The sequence below is a fragment of the Homo sapiens genome, chromosome 7, assembly GCF_000001405.40.
Source record: "Homo sapiens chromosome 7, GRCh38.p14 Primary Assembly".
Classification (NCBI taxonomy): Eukaryota; Metazoa; Chordata; class Mammalia; order Primates; family Hominidae; genus Homo; species Homo sapiens.
In genome coordinates, this window is record NC_000007.14 from 50,069,661 (window position 1) to 50,087,695 (window position 18,035).

General features: G+C 35.7%; 1 protein-coding gene across 11 annotated transcripts in view, besides 1 other annotated feature; it reads right to left on the minus strand.

Annotated features, from left to right (window-relative positions):
* ZPBP (zona pellucida binding protein) overlaps positions 1-18,035 on the minus strand; it is a 252,593-nt gene that overhangs the window by 229,007 nt on the left and 5,551 nt on the right. For 10 of the 11 annotated variants that reach the window (XR_001744543.2, XM_011515097.2, XM_011515101.4 and 7 more), the window contains exon 3: positions 12,114-12,239. The exons of the other annotated variant lie outside the window; for it this stretch is intronic. Coding sequence is in view for 9 of the 10 variants with exons in the window: in XM_011515097.2 (XP_011513399.1) it covers positions 12,114-12,239 (126 nt within the window). In the remaining variant the exon portion in view is untranslated. The remainder of the gene's footprint in view (positions 1-12,113; positions 12,240-18,035) is intronic. 11 annotated transcript variants of the gene reach the window in all.
* Positions 2,104-2,604: an enhancer, noted in NCBI's record as "H3K27ac hESC enhancer chr7:50111360-50111860 (GRCh37/hg19 assembly coordinates)". NCBI's record gives its function as "activates a minimal SCP1, AML or CMV promoter by ChIP-STARR-seq in naive H9 embryonic stem cells {active_cell/tissue: H9 hESC(naive)}" and the evidence as "EXISTENCE:reporter gene assay evidence [ECO:0000049][PMID:30033119]".

The window sequence follows — 18,035 nt, forward strand, 5'->3', positions numbered from 1 at the left end:
AAATTCTTTATCATGCACTCCAAAAGGGTTGGTTTTGATGCTTTCCCTCCTATTTCCTCCCTTGCAACGCACTTTCACTCTCACTTTCACTCTCAGATCCACCAGACGGGGTCCTATTACAGGAGTTTCAGACACTGCTCAGCCAGGAACGTGCCTTCCCCTGTCATAGCCTGCTGCGGCTACGAAGCTGGTCCTATCAGCCTTATGCAACGTCCTCAGTCTGATTTCCCCAACACTCGCCTTGGAGCACACAGACCATGCTAGGGATCTATGCCTCCCCACGTCACTCCCTGCATTGGCCTCTCCCAAGACCATCTCTTTCATGCCATTTCACACATCTCCCTTGCCCCAGGACTCCTAATTGGACAAAACAAGCCTCTCTCATGTCCCAGGTGAGCCTAGTTAGGCTCCCACATTCACACACATACACACAACACTCCTACCCCAGGACTCCTCATCAGACTAAACGAGTGTCTCTCATCCTGGGTAGGTTCACACACACCCACCCACTCCCAGTTCCTGTCTCCAGATCCAGTGAACCACTTTCACTTTGTTAGTGGGGACACAAGGTTCATCCAAATTGGCAGGCCACTTCTGCCGCCCCCAGCCACTCTGGGTTGGATTAGTGGTTGGTACCCTGGAGGTGATCAAACTCCCCTTCATCCCTATGGGAAGGGCTTTCCTGTCTTGGGCCCTTACTCCTTACTTCAGTTCCTGAAGTGCTGGTATTGTCCTACAGCCCCGTACCTGGTTCTGCTGCACTGCCAGGCAGGGTGCCGGGACGCAGGAGAGCCAGTTTTCATCCGGGTGAAGCTCTCCCGTGGTGCGCCTTGGATGCTGGGTCTCACCCAGCCCTGGGGCTCTAGTCCCACAGGCAAAGGAGACAGTAAATCTGTCATCTTCAACCCCGGACAAGCCCCCAGAAATGTAGTGGAATTGATAAGGAATCAGAGAGACTGATGGGGTTCAGGAGGATATTTATTATTTAGGTGCACCAGCCCAGTTGGATTAACATCCAAAGGACTGAGCCCTGAACAAAGAGTCAAGTTACCTTTTAAGCATTTTGTGGGGTGGGGGAGATCTGTGCAGGGGGAAGCATATTACAGAAGTGATAAACAAAGACAGCTATTCAATTAATTGAGACATGTATTATATTGTTTTTTACTTTTCAAGGAAAAACATGTTTTACGACTTGAGTTTATCTGTCTAGTGACCTTGAAGCTGCACAGCTAGAAAAACAGGGTCTTCACAATGCCTGGGAAAGGGGGAGAGATAAGGCTCACTAGCCACAGAAAAACAGGCAGTTAATTCTAAAGGACTCCAGCTCTTTCTTTTTCTCAGGGGGAACTGGGTTTTCTTACACACAACTAAGTTTCTGATTACAAATTTTTTAATTTCTTTTAATTCCTGTTCCAATATCACTAAAGTAGGCACTGAAAAGACTTTTTAAAAATCCAAAATCACCAATGCCACCCCTACCCCACCACCAACCCCATGCCCCACAGTGGTGGCCTGGTGCAAATAGTGTCTCTGGATACTGGGGGAGGGAGAACACAGCAATTGTGAGGTATTGAGCTCAGAGCTGTCCTGTTAGAGCAGAAAGGAAAAGCAGACCAAATTCAGCTGATACCTGCCCATGGAGTGAGCATTTAAACCAGCCCAAACCAGAAGAGAATCATCGATCCCAGCAATATGAACTTGAGTGCCTGCAAACCTTGCCACCAAGGTCTACAGCACTCTGTTTACTCTCCAAGTAAACTTGAAAGGCAATCTAGGCCATAGGGCTACAAAACATAGGTGAGTCCTAGTGCTGAACTAGGCCCAAAGACAGTGAACTGAGGGGGCACACACCTGGTGAACTGAGACACCAGCTGGGGAAGCCAAGGGAGGGCTGGCATCACCCCTCCTCTAACCATAGGCTCCACAGTTTGCAGCTCCAAAAGGCACCCCTTCTTTCCACCTGAGGAGAGGAAAGGAAAGAGTGGGGAGGACGCTGTCTTGCATCTAAGATACCAGCCCAAGCACAGTAGGATAGAGCACTGGTCAGAGTTGTGATGTCCCCATTCCAGGCCCTAGTTCCAAGAGGGCATTTCTAGACATACCCTGGGCCAGAAGGGAACCTGCTGCCTTAAAAAAAAAGACCCAGTCCTGGCAGCATTCATCATCTGCTAACTGAAGAGCCCTTGGGCCCTGAATAACCAGCAGCGATACCCAGGTACAACATCAAGGGCCTTGGGTGGGCCTCTGAGACTTGCTCACTTCAGGTGAGACTCAGCACATGACCAGCTGTGGTGGCTATGGGGAAAAACTCCTTCTGCTTGAGAAATGCAGAAGGAAAACTAAAGGGCACTTTGTCTTATACCTTAACTACCAGCATGGACACAGACGGGGAGAGCAACAAGTGGACTCTCAGGATCTCCAGTGAACAGGGCTTGATGTTTGGATGGCATTTCTGAACTTGCCCTGGGGCCAGACAACAGTCCACTGCCCTGAAGGGTAAGTCCCAGGCCAGGAAGCATGGGCCTTAAGGGAACATTGGTGGTAGTTGGCAATAATCCCACTGGCCTGGGGGTGGTGGTGGCTATCAGGTGAGGCTCCTCTCCCTTTGGAAAGAGTAGCAGGGTAGAATGGGAAGGAGTGTGTCTTTTGCTTTGAGTGCCAGCTCAGCTGCAATATAATAGAACACCAGGCAGACTTCTAAGGTTTTTTACTCTAGTCCCTGAATCCCAGACAGCACTTCTGAACCCACCAAGGGATTGGGGGACCTTGCAGCACTGAAGGGAAGGACAAAGGCCTGGCTGGCTTTACTTCCTGCTGATTGGAGAGCCCCAGGGCCTTGAGCAAACACAGGCTGGAGCCATGGAGTGGTTACAGCAGGCCTGGCTTCAGGTCTGACCCAGTGTAGTCACAGTAGTGGTAGCCACAGGGATGCTATTGTCACTCAACCTCCAACTTTAGGTGACTCAAAACAGAGACAGAGACTCTGTATGTTTTGGGAGAAAGTAAGGGAAGAAAACAAGAATCCCTGCCTGGTAATCCAGAAAATTTTCCTGGATCTGGTACAAGACCATCAAGGTAATACCTCTGTGAATCTGCAAGAACCAAAGCATTACTGAGCTTGAGGTGTCTCCTAAAACAGACACAATTTACATCATAACATCCAAGTCCTTTCAAATATCTGAAAAGCCTTTCCAAGAAGAATGGAGCCTCCTAAAACAGATACAACTTAGATCACAACACCCAAGGGCTTTCAAATATCGGAAAAGCCTTTCCAAGAAGAATGGCTACAAATAAGCGCAGACAGTGAAGACTACAATGAATACTTAGCTCTTCAATGGCCAGACACCAAAGAACATCTACTAGTATCAACACTATTCAGGAAAACATGACCTCAACAAATAAACTAAATACCAGGGACCAATCCTGGAAAAACAGAGATATGTGACCTTTTAGAAAGGCAATTTAAAATAGCTATGTTGAAGAAACTCAAAGAAATTCAAGATAGTACAGAGAAGCAATTCATAATTAGATATATTTAACAAAGAAATTGAAATAAAAAGAATCAAGCAGAAATCCTGGAGCTGAAAATGCAATGGCATGCTGAAGAATGCATCAGAGTCCTTTAACAGCAGAATGAATCAAGCAGAAGAAAGAATTAGTGAGCTTGAAAACACACTACTTAAAAATACATGAAGGAGACAAAAGAAAAAGGAGTAAAAAACAGTGAAGCATTCCAGAAGATCTAGAAAATAGCCTCAAAACAGCAAATCTAACAGTTAATTGGCCTTAATGAGGAGACAGAGGAAAAGATAAGGGTAGAAAGTTTATTCAAAAGGATAATAACAGAGAATTTCCCAAACCTAGACAAAGTCATAATATCCAAGTACAAGAAGGTTACAGAACACCAAGCAGATTTAACCCAATGTAGACTACTTCAAGGCATTTAATAATCAAACTCCCTAAGGTAAAGGTTAAAGAATGGATCCAAAAAGCAGAAAGAAAAAACAAATAACATACAATGGAGTTCCAATACATCTGGCAGCAGACTTTTCAGTGGAAACCTTACAGGCCAGGAGAGAGTGGCATGACATATTTAAAGTGCTGAAGGAAAAATAAAATTTATCCTAGAATAGTATATCTGGCAAAAATATCCTTCAAACATGAAGGAGAAATAGACTTTCCCAGACACACAAAAGCTGAGGGATTTCACCAATACCTCAACTTTCATACAAGAAATGCTAAAGGGAGTACTTCAGTTAGAAAGAAAAGAAAATTAATGAGTAATAAATAATCACCTGAAGGTACAAAACTCGCAGGTAATAGTACACAGAAAAACACAGAATATTACAACACTGTAACTGTGATGTGTAAACTAGTCTTTGATGAACGAATCAAAAATAGTAACTACAGCAACGTTTCAAGACATAGTCAATACAATAAGATATAAATAGAAAAAACAGAAGTTAAAAAGCAGGGGGATTAAATTAAGGCATAGAGTTTTTATTAGTTTTCTTTTTGTTTGTTTATGCAAACAATGTTAAGTTTTTATCAGGTAAAAATATTGGATTATAAGATAGCAATTGCAAGCCTCATGGTAACCTAAAACCGAAAAGCATACAATGGATACACAAAAAATAAAAAGCAAGAAGCTAAATCATATCATCAGAGAAAATCGCCTTCACTACTGGAAGACAGAAAGGAGAGAAAGAAGGAAGAGAAAACCAGAAAACAAATAATAAAATGGCAGGAGGAAGTCCTTACTTATAAATAATAACATTAAGTGTAAATTGACTAAATTCTCTAATAAAAAATAGACAGAGTAGATGAAAAAACAAGACCCTCTGATCTACTGCCTATAAGAAACACACTTCACCTATAAAGATACACATAGGCTGAAAATAAAGGGATATAAAAAGATACTTCATGCCAATGGAGAGCAAAAAAGAGTGGCAATTGCTATACTTACATCAGACAAAATAGGTTGCAAGACAAAAACTATCAGAGAAAAAAAATGGTCACTATATAATAATAAAGGGGTCAATTCAGCAAGAGAATATGACAATTATAAATACGTATACACCCAACATGGGAGCACTCAGATATATAAAGAAAATATTATTAGAGCTAAAGAGAGAGAGAGGCCTCAATACAATAATAGTGGGAGACTTCAACACCCCACTTTCAGCATTAGACAGATCCTCCAGACAGAAAGATCAACAAGGAAACATCAGACTTAATCTATACTACAGACCAAATGCATCTAGTAGACATTTATAGACCATTTCATCTAAGAGCTGCAGAATACACATTATTTTCCTCAGTACAGAGATCATTCTCAAGGATAGACCATATATTAGGTCACAAAACAAGCCTTAAAACACTTTTTAAAAACTGAAATAATATTAAGCATCTTCTCTGACCACAATGGAATAAAACTAGAAATAAATAATAAGAGAAATTTTAGAAACTACACAAATACATAGAAATTAAACAATATGCTCCTGAATGACCAGTGGGTTGTTAAAGAAATTAAGGATGAAATTGAAAATTTTCATGAAATAAATGTTAATGGAAACACAACATACCAAAACCTATGGGATACAGCAAAATCAGTACTAAGAGAGAAATTTATAGCTATTTAAGTGCCTACATTGAAAAAAGGGGAAAAACTTCAAATAATCTAACATTGCATCTTGCAGAACTAGAAAAGCAAGAGCAAACCAAACCCAAAATTAGTAGAAGAAATAATAAAGATCAGAGGAGAAATAAATGAATTTGAAATGATAAAAAATACAAAAGATCAATAAAACAAAAAGTTGGTTTTTTGAAGAGTTAAACAAAATTGACAAACCTTTAGCCAGACTAAGAAAGAGAGAAGATCCAAATAAAGTCAGAAATGAAAAAGGAGACATTATGACTGATACTGCAGAAATTCAAAGGATCATTAGTGATTACTATGAGCAACTATATGCCAATACATTGGAAAATCCAGAAGAAATGGACAAATTCCTAGATACATACAACCTACCAAGATTGAATCAGGAAGACATTCAAAAGCTGAACAGACCAATAACAAGTAACAAGATAGAAGCCTTAATAAAAACTCTCCAAGTAAAGAAAAGCCCAGGACTCAATGGCTTTGCTGCTGAATTAAACGAAACATTTGAAGAAGAAATAATACCAATCCTACTCAAACAATTCTGAAAAATAGAAGAAGAGGGAATATTTCCAAACTTATTTTACAAGGCCAGTATTACCATTATACCAAAACCAGACAAAAACACATCATAAAAAGAAAACTACAAGTCAATATCTCTGATGAATATTGATGCAAAAATCCTCAACAAAATACTAGCAAACTGAATTCAACAAAAGGTTAGAAAGATCATTTATCATTACCAAGTGGGACTTATTCCTGTGATGCGAGGATGGTTCCAATATACCAAATCAATCAGCGTGATATATCATGTTAACAGAATGAAGGATAAAAACATGAACGATCATGTTTTGATTAAACTTCAAAATTGATGCTGAAAAAGCATTTGATAAAATTCAACATCCCTTCATGATAAGAACCCAAAAAAAACTGAGTATAGAAGGAACACACCTCAAAATAATAAAAGACTTATACAACAGACCACAGCCAGTATCATACTGAATGGAGAAAAACTGAAAGCCTTTCCTCTAAGATCTGGAACACAACAAGGATACCCACTCACCGCTGTTACTCAACATAGTGCTGGAAGTCCTGGCTAGAGCAATCAGACAAGATAGATACAAAGGCATCCAAATTGGAAAGAAAGAAGTTAAATTATCCTTGTTTGCTGGTGATATGATCTTATATTTGGAAAAACCTAAAGACTTCAAGAAAAAACTATTATAACCAATAAGCAAGTAAAATTTCAGGATCAACATACAAAAATCAGTAGCATTTCTATATACCAACAGTGAAAAATGTAAAAAGAAATAAAAAAGTAATCCCATTTACAACAGCCACACATAAAATTAAACATCTAGGAATTAACCAAAAAAGTGAAAGATCTCTATAATGAAAACTATAAAACACCTGATGAAGGAAACTGAAGAGGACATCCAAAGATGAAAAAAAAAATTCTGTGTCATGAATTGAAAGAATCAATATTATTAGAATGTCCAAACTATACAAAGCAATCTGGAGATTCAATGCAATCCCTATCAAAATGCCAACAACATTCTTCACAGAAATAGAAAAAACAACCCTAAAAATTATATGGAACCACAGAAGACCCAGGAATAGCCAAAGCTATCCTGAGCAAAAAGAGCAAAACTGGAGGAATCACATTATCTGACTTCAAATTATACTATAGAGCTATACTAACCAAAACAACATGGTACTAGCATAAAAACAGACACATAGACCAATGAAATAGAATGGAGAACCCAGAAACAAATCCACACATCTACGGTGAATTCATTTTTGACAACAGTGCCAAGGACATACTCTGGAGAAGAGACAGTCTCTTCAATAAGTGGTTCTGGGAAAACTGGATATCCATATGCAGAAGAATGAAACCAGATCCCTATCTCTTGCCATATACAAAGATCAAATCAAAATAGATTAAAGAGTTAAATCTAATACCTCAAACTCTGAAACTATTATAAACATTGGGGAAAATCTCCAGGACACTGGTCTGGGAAAAGACTTCTTGAGCAATAACCCACAAGCACAGGCAACCAAAGAAAATACAGACAAATGGGATTGCATCAAGTTAAAAAGGTTTTGCATAGCAAAGGATACAATCAATGAAGTGAAGAGACAATCCACAAAATGGGAGAAAATATATGCAAACTACCCCCTTTGACAAGGATTAATATCCAGAATATACAAGCAGTTCAAACAACTATAGGAAAAAAAACTAATAATCTGACAAAGAAAATTGGCAAAAGATGTGAATAGACATTTCTCAAGAAGACATTCAAATGGCAAACAGGCCTATGAAATGGTGCTCAACATCACTAATCGTCAAAGAAATGCAAATCAAAACTACAAGAGGTATCATCTCACCAGTTAAAATGGCTTATATCCAAAACACAGGAAATAACAAGTGCTGGTGAGGATGTGGACAAAGGGGAACCCTTGTACACTGTTGATGGGAATGTAAACTAGTACAACCATTATGGTGAACAGTTTGGAGGCTTCTCAAAAAACTAAAAACAGAGCTAACATATGATCCAGCAATCTCCCTTCTTGGTACATACCCACAAGAAAGGAAATCAATATATTGAAGAGGTATCTGCATTCCTGTGTGTTGCAGCACTGCTTACAATAGCTAAGATTTAGAAGCAAACTACATGTCCATCAGCAGATGAATGGATAAAGAAAATGTGGTACATATACACAATGGAGTACTGTTCAGCCATAAAAAGGAATGAGATCCAGACATTTGCAACAACATGGCTGGAACTGGAGATCATTATGTTAAGCGAAATAAGCAGTCATAAGAAGACAAACATTGCATGTTCTCACTTGTCTGTAGGATCTAAAAATCAAATCAATTGAACTCATGGACATAGACAGTAGAAGGATGGTTACCAGAGGCTGGGAAGTGTAGTGGGGAGTTTTAGGGGGAAGTGGGGATGATTAATGGGTACCAAAAAATAGAAAAAATGAATAAGACCTACTATTTGATAGCACAACAGGATGACTATAGTCAATAATAACTTAATTGCATATATTAAAATAACTTAAAGAATGTAATTGGAATATTTATAACCTAAGGAATAAATGCTTTAGGGGATGGATACCCCATTCTCCATGATGTGCTTATTTCACATTAACTGCCTGTATCAAAACATCTTATCCACCCCATACATATATACACCTACTATGTACCTAAAATTAAAAAAAAATAATATTCTTAAGAAAAATTTTTAAAAGACTTAAGTGTAAGACCTAAAACAATAAAAATACTAAAAGAAAATCTAGGAAACACCACTCTGAACATAGGCACTGGCAAAGCTTTCATGAACAAGACTCCAAAAGCAATTGCAAGACAAACAAAAACAGACAAGTGGAAACTAATTAAACTAAGGAGCTCTGCATAGTAAAAGAAACTATCAACAAAGTAAACAAACAACCTACAGAATGGGAGAAAATGTTTGCAAACTATGCCTCCCATGAAGTCTAATAACCAGAATCTATAAGGAACTTAACAAAACAAACAAAAATCAAGCAACTCCACTAAAAAATGGGCAAAAGACATGAATAGACACTTCTCAAAAGAAGTGAAACATGTGGACAACAAGCATACGAAAAGATACTCAACATAACTAGTAAGAGAGAACAAAAAAAAAGAGAGAGAAGACACAACCAACATCAGGAGTGAATGAGGACACATCCCTATAGATTCTGAAAACCAGAAATCTGTTATCTATAAAGAGATAACACAAAATATTACAAACTACTTTATGCATATAAATACAACACATTTAAAAATCCAATGTTGGACAAATTCCTTGAAAGATACAATCTACCAAAATTCATAAAATGGTGTGTTCCTACCTCATTGAGATTATATCTATGAACTCTGATAAAAGACTTCAGACATAATGACTTTAGGAAAGTACCTTATTCTCTTAATGCTTTTGTTTTCCCATTTATAAAATGGAGAAAGTGGCTGTAATTACTGCAAAAGGTCATTGTTAAAATTAATATGTGTAAATTGTTAGAATAATATCTGACACATAGTAATCTTATGTATTTATTATTTTTATAAAATTCACTGTGCTAAGTAAAATAAGGCAGAAACTGAAATATGTGGAATCTAAAAAAGTCACACTAATACTCATACAAAAGTCACATTCACACTCCACCCTACCACAAATATAGGGTAGAATGGTGGTTACCAGGGACTGGGGGGTTGGAGACATGTGGTTCTTGGTCCAAGAGTATAAAATTTCAGTTATAAGATGAATAAGTTCAGGAGACCTAATGTATAGAATGGTAAATACAGTTAACAATAATGTATTGTATACTTGAAATTTTATGAGAGTAAATCTCAAATGTTCTCACCACACACACACAAAATGGCAACTATGTAAGGTAAATGATATGTTAATAGCTTGATGTAGGAAAGCTGAACACATGTGTGAGTACTTATACATGTTTGTGTGAATATTTAGAAAAGCAGGAAAAGTCCCCACACCAAAAAGAGTTAATTCATCAGAACAGTATTAGGGTCAGAGTGGGAGGTACAGAACTTGTTGCAATAAATGCAATTACCTTTGTAAATAAACAATACTAAATTTTCAAGAAACAGAGAAAAAGAGAGACACCAAATATAAGACTTGCTCCCTATGTTTCATAACACATCTAAACAACTTGAGTATTTTCTCCAAAGGAATGTACAAGTAATCACATAATTACATGATTTATTTGGCTCAAATCAAGGGAAACTATCTTTGAGATATCCATAAAATGATAAGTACAGTGCAGTTTAAACTACAGTCCAAAAAGCTTCTCTGTTCTTCAAACTTTAAGACATTAGACCTCTTCCAGTCCTTTCTGAAATAAAAAGTATAGTGTTCTTAATAAGTTTTACAACTGGTAGAGAGTGACCTATGATAAAATACTGTATTGAAAACCATAATATAATCATAAAGTTAAAATACCAGAATTCCCTGAGAACAGTTTTTATAAAGATAAAAACCAATGTAGTAACAGGATTATATCTTTACCTGGAAATAACTACATTTATCAATACCTACTTTTCTATTATAAGAGTGAGTAAAATAAATATTGCTCCTACTTAAAGGATAAATTGAATTTCATACTATATTTTGCAATATAAACTGCAAGACCTGGCGTTGCACCTCGGAGAAGAAAAAATTTCAAATTTCAATTTCCAAATCAAACGAGCAAAAAATGACAATAAAAAATTCAATGCTTAAATGTTTCTATATTTCAACTTGCAGAGTTTCAATATAAAATGTAAAACATATTTAAAACACATGTTTCTATTACATTATGTGCTACTATTAGAGAGTGATAAAAATAAAATTTGATTGTATTTCCACTACTGGGTGCTTTTACGCCTGGATCACTTCTCTGATTATATAAGCTGCAAAACTTATTAGAATTTCTGTTGTTGAGCCCTGCTGATCCCATGAACAAATTGCACAATCGTTCCTACTTTGCTAGTGTAGTGAGGCAGAGGTTATGTCTGATCTTTCTATCCCCCATAAAACCTAGCACAGCGGCTTCCACCAAGTAGTCATTCACTAAATGAATGATGAATAATTTGTCCTAAGAAAAACACAGACTGACCCAAAGAGGAGATTAATTCTTTAAAATTACCTATTTTTGTATCAACATAAATACCACAGAAACATACAGCTGAGATCTCTTAGCTATATAAATATGAATTAAAACATATTAAAAATTAGTATTTCCTATGTTTCTTTAGCAAGTCTTTGTATAAATATATTGCTCTCCTTCATCCAAGAAAATAAAATAAGCCTGTAAGTTTCTATCCACAGGCACGATCTCAAAATAGCAATAAGATTTTTAAAAAGAAAGGAAAGAAAACATGGTAAATAGAGCAATAAAGGAAAACTTTCTCTGAGGGTATGCAAAAATGACTGAACAGATCTTCAAAATGAAAATTCATTAATCTATATTTTTTGCAAGGCAAGAAACAAAGCCAGCTAAGTTAACTGTAGTTTTTTAAAACTACAGTGTTAAAAATCAGCTTTTATCCAATCAAAAAATTAGAATAAAAGTAAAAAGTAAAATCTGTATTTCAGGATTAAAAAACAAGAAGTTGACTAGAGGAAATACTGATCAAATCAGTCATACAAACAGTATTTTTTAAGTGAGAAAAAGTAACTTTGGGGGATTATAGATGCTTTGAGAACCCCCCAAACAGTTCATTCTTAGAGTATGTCCCTGTATCAAAATAAAATATGTAAAAATGGGAACACTATCTACATTGTTAGCTCTAACTCCAAAAGGAAATCACAAGAAAAAGAATTGAGGAAATAACATAAATATGTATGAGATACAAACATTCTTTTTGTGTTGCACACAATTCAGATACATTTATTTAATTACAATAATTGAAACAAAATCCTACCTGAAACAACTTTTCCTTTAGGCCCATACCATTGGAATGATGGGTCTATCAGTTCAGCATTTCGCAGTTGTTGCGTTACACATAACACGTGTGGACTCTTTTGATGGAGCATGACATACGCTTTCACTGAAAATACAATATTTAAAATGTTCCAATAGTATTTTATCTTCTTTTCTTTCTCTATAATGTACACTTTTGTAGTTTGGGTTACATGCAATAATAAGAGTACTTTGAATTATTGCTCCTATTACTTGATAAAAACTAAATTTCATTGCATTCTATGCAATTAACATTAAAAATATATTATGTATTTGTATGTATATATGTGTATGCATGTATGTGTGTGTACATGTATCCCCAACCTTAGCATAATGTGTTAGTACTTTTCATTCAGAGCTCATATACACTAACCTGTTTTATTCTCAGAATATTATTTCAATAACAAAGTATTAAGATAATACTATATCTACACTTTATCTGTTTTGTAAAGACACCAAACATGATTAGAGCTTAAAAATTGTTTAGATTAGCAGAATAATGCATTATTCACAATGATGTAGCATGATGTACTGAATAAAAATGATAAAGTGATTAAAAAGTTAGCAAATTTATGCTTTTATTGATTTTAAATATTAAAGCATTTTGTTCCATTTGCTTTGAAATTTAAATCCTGATAAGTAAGCAAAAATAGTATCCTTTAGGAGATACAAAAGGAACCCGGTAAAGATTCCATTATTTTAAGTTTACTCATAAGTAAACTTTTAGGAAAGGTTGCAACAACCCTTTAGACTCTGCATGCCAACTCTTCACTGATACACTGTATACAAAGATTTCTGTGATCGAGTAAAATAAAGAGAATCAAAATTCTCTTTGACTTTTAAGAGACTTCCTCTAAAGTTTTACCATAAAGCATGATGTTTATTGAATGTACTTTTAGGTACATACCCTTCCACAGGTTAAGAAAGATCCCCTCTGTTCTTGGTTATTTGTTTTTATCATAAACATAAATCAGCACTGAATTTTAAGAAATGTTTGTTCTATATTGATTGAGGTGATTTTTTTCTTTTTGAGTACTTTAATGAAATGCTTGCATTAATAGATTGCCTAACTTCTTTAATAAATGCTTACCCCATAAATTTTCACTCCTCAGCATGATTTACTGGCCCTACTCTCCATGATCTTTTGCATATATCTCACTATACCTCTTTTCACACCCTCTGCCCTAACCACGCCACAGCAGCACACAGCATCATTCTTTTGTGATTTTATTGATATAAATTCCTCCTCATCTTTGGAGACTCAGCATAAGTATATCCTTTGTGCTTTGGCTTGACAGTACCTCATACCATGACTGTACCCTTCCTCTCGCCCCCACTAACCCCTGTACCTATTTCACAGCAAATATAAATGAATCCAGAAGAGTTTCCCAATGCAAGATCAACATACAAAAACAAATAATATTCCTCTACATCAACAATAATGCATTAAACCATTTTATAGGAAGGAAGATAATATTTAGAGTACAATAAACAAAAGTCACTCTATAATCAAGTAAGACCTCTGTGGGAAACATCTTCAGGCTCTAACAAAAGACATAAAATTAGACCAAAATGCCATAATCATGACTGCATACACATAACTTTAAAGATGTCAATTTATTCCCAAATTTATTTATCAACACATAAGCAAAATCCCAGAAGAAATTATTTAAGAAGCTCTTCAATACTGATTCTAAAATCCATTTGGAAGATTAAAGCTTCATAAATATCTGAAAGAATTCTATAACAGAAAAGCAAAGAGGAGGGACTAGCAATAAGAGTTACTGAGATATATTAACATTTACACTAAATAAAAAAAGAGAGGCCTGGTGTAGGAACAAATAATGGGTCTAGGGAAAAAATCAAATTGGCATAAATAACTGATATATATGTGGTAGACAAGGTACCTAAAATCACTGGAGAAAATATAGATTATCAATAAATTATAGTTAAAAGTTATCTCAAAATACATGCAAATGTAAACTTAGATTTATACCTCTTACCGTATATAAAAATAAATTCCAGGTACACTGAATAACTGAAGGCAAGTAATTATTTAAAGAAAATAATACCTTTATGTCTGAACCAGTTATAGAAAATTATCTCAATGCAAAAAGCACAAATATAAAAATACTGAACTCAACTTCTTAAATGGTAACACTTTCTGTTTGATCCTGTATAACATAGGCAAAGTTAACAAATTTGACTGTAGGGAGAGGATATTTGCAACAAAGTTAATAATGCATTTATAACTGGAATATAAACAATATGAAAAAGAACTCCTTTGAAAACAACAAAGAAAAGAATGGGTAGAGGCAACTTAATCTTCAGCTTACCAAAAATGGAAAAAGTTGGGTAAAATTTTGTGCTGATAAGGATGTGGGAAAATGGGACCCCCTCAAGCACCACTGAAGGAAGTGTGAACTGGTGCAGCCTTTTTGAAGAGCAAAGTTAGTGAGAATGAGAATGCTCAGGTCCTATGATGCTAAAACCTCTTCTCCTGGATAATACAGTCCCAGAAAACTTCTGAACATGTACCAAAAAAAAAAAAAATACAAAATGGTATTTATTACATACACCAAAAAAACAGAATAAACTAAAAGTTCAACAAAATGTAAATAAAGGCTCAGTGAATTAATTAATACATGAATTAATGAAAATGGAAAACTAACTGAACTGAAAAGAATATGTAAAAGGCGAACGAGTTAAAAAGAGGGTCACAAATCTGAAAAGTGGCCAACACAGACAGATGCCAAGACCTTACATGACAGAAGAAATGGTGGGCACAAAAAATCATGCAGTCAGTATATTATGGGCCAAAACCAATGAAATATCATATAATAATCTACTCAGTGATATAAGAACTACCTAGTCAATTGGAATGGTAATCTATTTTAAGAATAAATTTAATATTATACAATAAAAGAAAATGAAAGGGAAATTAGTTACCCAGATAACGTTTTATAATTCAGCTTTAAAAGTTGTCATTGGGGAGATCAATACAAATGGCAGAATAAGGAACTCCAAAAATTACCTCCTTCATAAAAGTCATGAGGAAAAGTGTAGAAATTATCAGAAAAAACATTTCCAGAACTCAAACTCAAAATTAATCAAATACAGCAATCCAGAAAACATTTATTCTAGAAAAACAACTGGATCTGATTTATGGGTTGATTGTGTCCTCCCTCTCTTATTAATATGTTGAAGTCCTAATCTCCAGTACTTCAGGATATAAACTTATTTAGAAATAGTCTTTACTGAGGAAGTCAGGTTAAAATGAAGTCATCAGGCTGAGTACAAATCCAATATGACTGATCTCCTTATAAAAAGGGGAAATTTGGAAACACAGACAAATACAGAGGGAAGAGGATACAGAGTGATAGGGAAAAGATGGCAATCTAAAAGCCAAAGACAAATATCTGGAACAGATTCTTTCTTCAAAGTCTTCAGAAGAAACCAACTCTGCCAATACTTTGATTTTTGATTTCTAGCCTCTATAACTGTAAGACAGTAATTTCTGTTGTTTAAGCCACCCTGTCTGTGGTTCTTTTGTTCCAGCATCCCTAAGGAACTAATTAAAATCAGTAGGAACAGTGAGCTTGTAGTATTTTAACGTGCCTGATTCCCATGCCTCCTTCTCCAGCTCTGCAATAAGGAGCCATGACAACCAACAGTTTACAATCACAGTGAGAACCAGCAGCCTGGCAGCCAATGAAGGGGGCAGGCATGGTAAGAATGCCTTCAAAGCCTCCCTCCCAGAGTACTATCAGTATGCGAACTGTCAGTCAACATCCTGGAAGACCTCGTATTAAAGGCTGCCCGTACTTGACCTGATTTGGACTTTGCCTACTGCACAAAGCCTTTTCCCCAAAAGAATTCGTTAAAAACAATTAGAGGCCCTCATTTAACTTTGTGACTGCCTGATACACTGAGCAACAATTGGGGAAAACAATAGGTTAACCAAAAACCTTAAGAGGAAAAGCTGGGGAATGTCATATCCACAGGAACTTTGACTTGTTCTGAACATTCCTGAAAAAGTTAGCAGGACACATGCATGCAAAAGACTGTGTACATGCCCAGAACAATCTGTATTCTCAGTAAAGATGAAGAGGCCTTAAGTTCTCTCTTTTGGCTGAAATTGAGGTTCTGCACGGCATAAAGTGAATGATAAGGTAGAGTTGCCAACTATCTGAAAGGTACGTCACAACGTGCACAAAGACACCCTCAGCAAAGACTAGGAGACTAACTAGTTCAAGATGTTTAATGAAAACTCTGTCCAATCATTAGCCTAACTAAGCTAATTAAGCAGAGATTTCAGTGGTTATGGGATAAAGAATACATAACTTACACAGTTAGTTCAGAAACTCACTGAACAAATACACGATATCAGCAAACAGCAACAACATCACACTCTGGGAAGTAGAAAGAATCTTATTTCCAGTGTTGCTATGTTATACTATTATAAATGTCAAGTTTTCAACTAAAAATATGAGACATGCAGAAACCCAAGAAAATATGGCCATATGCATAAAAAGGTAGCCCACTGAAACAGACTCCAAGGAAGGCCAAATATTGGAGAAAGATCATTAGGTTGAACTTACTGGATAAATATTTTAAGTTAGATATTTTATATATGATCAAAGAAAACCATGTCTAAATGTAATAAAGAATGTGTGATATTCCAAGTAGAAGATATCAATAAAGATACAAAAATTATTTTTAATAAACTGCAGATTAAACAGTACAATAACTGAAATGGGAAATTAACTAGAAGGAATCAATAGCAAACTGAGAAGGCAGAAGAATCTGCAAACTTGAAGATAGGTCAACATGGGATTACCCAGTCTGAGAAAAAGAAAAAAAGAATAAAGATCAATAACTCAGAGACCTGTGAAAAACCATTAAGCATATCAATGTATGCATAATCAGAGTCCTGAAGGAGGGGAGAGAGAGAAAAAGAATTTTTTTAATAATCGCAAAAAATCCCAAATTTGATTGAAAACATGAATCCACGTATCCAAGAATTCAATTAACTCCAATTATGATAAACTTAAAGGAAATCCATAGCCAGACACATCATAATCAAACTGACAAAATCCATAAACAAGGAGATAATCTTGACAGTAGCAAGAGAGAAGCAACTTATCCCACACAAGTAACCTTTGATTAATAGTTTCTCATAAAAAGTCATAATGAAATAGAAAGTCTGAATAGGCCTTAAATGAGTGATTAAACTGGTAATCAAAAAACCTCCCAAAAGGAAAAGTCCAGCACCAAATGAATTCACTGGTGAATTTTACCAAACAATTAACAGAATTAACAACAATCCTTCACAAACTCTTCCAAAAGATAGAAGAGGAGGTCATTACATACCAACTTGTTCTATGAAGCCAAAATCAAAGGCATCACAAGAAATTTACAGACCAATTTTCCTTATGAACATAGCCATAAAAATCCTAAAAACACTAGCAACCAAATCTAGCAACATAAGAAAGGATTATACATCATAATCAACTGGAATTTATCCCAGGAATGCAAAGCAAGTTCAAAATACAAAAATCAATGTGATGCATCATATTAACAAGATAAAGAACAAAAAACACATTATCGTCGCCATACATGGAGAAAAAGCATTTAGCAAAATTCAACCCCTTTCACAATAAAAGAACTCAACAAACTAGGAATTGAGGGGAACTCCCTAAACCTGATAAAGGGCATCTACAAAAAACTCACAGATAACATCATACTTAAGGGTGAAAACTTATATCGGTTTTACACAACATCAGTATGAAAATATCAATTGTGTTTCTTTATGCTAGCAATGAACAATCCAAAAACTAACTAAATAAAACCATTCATTTACAATAGCATTGAAAGTAATAAA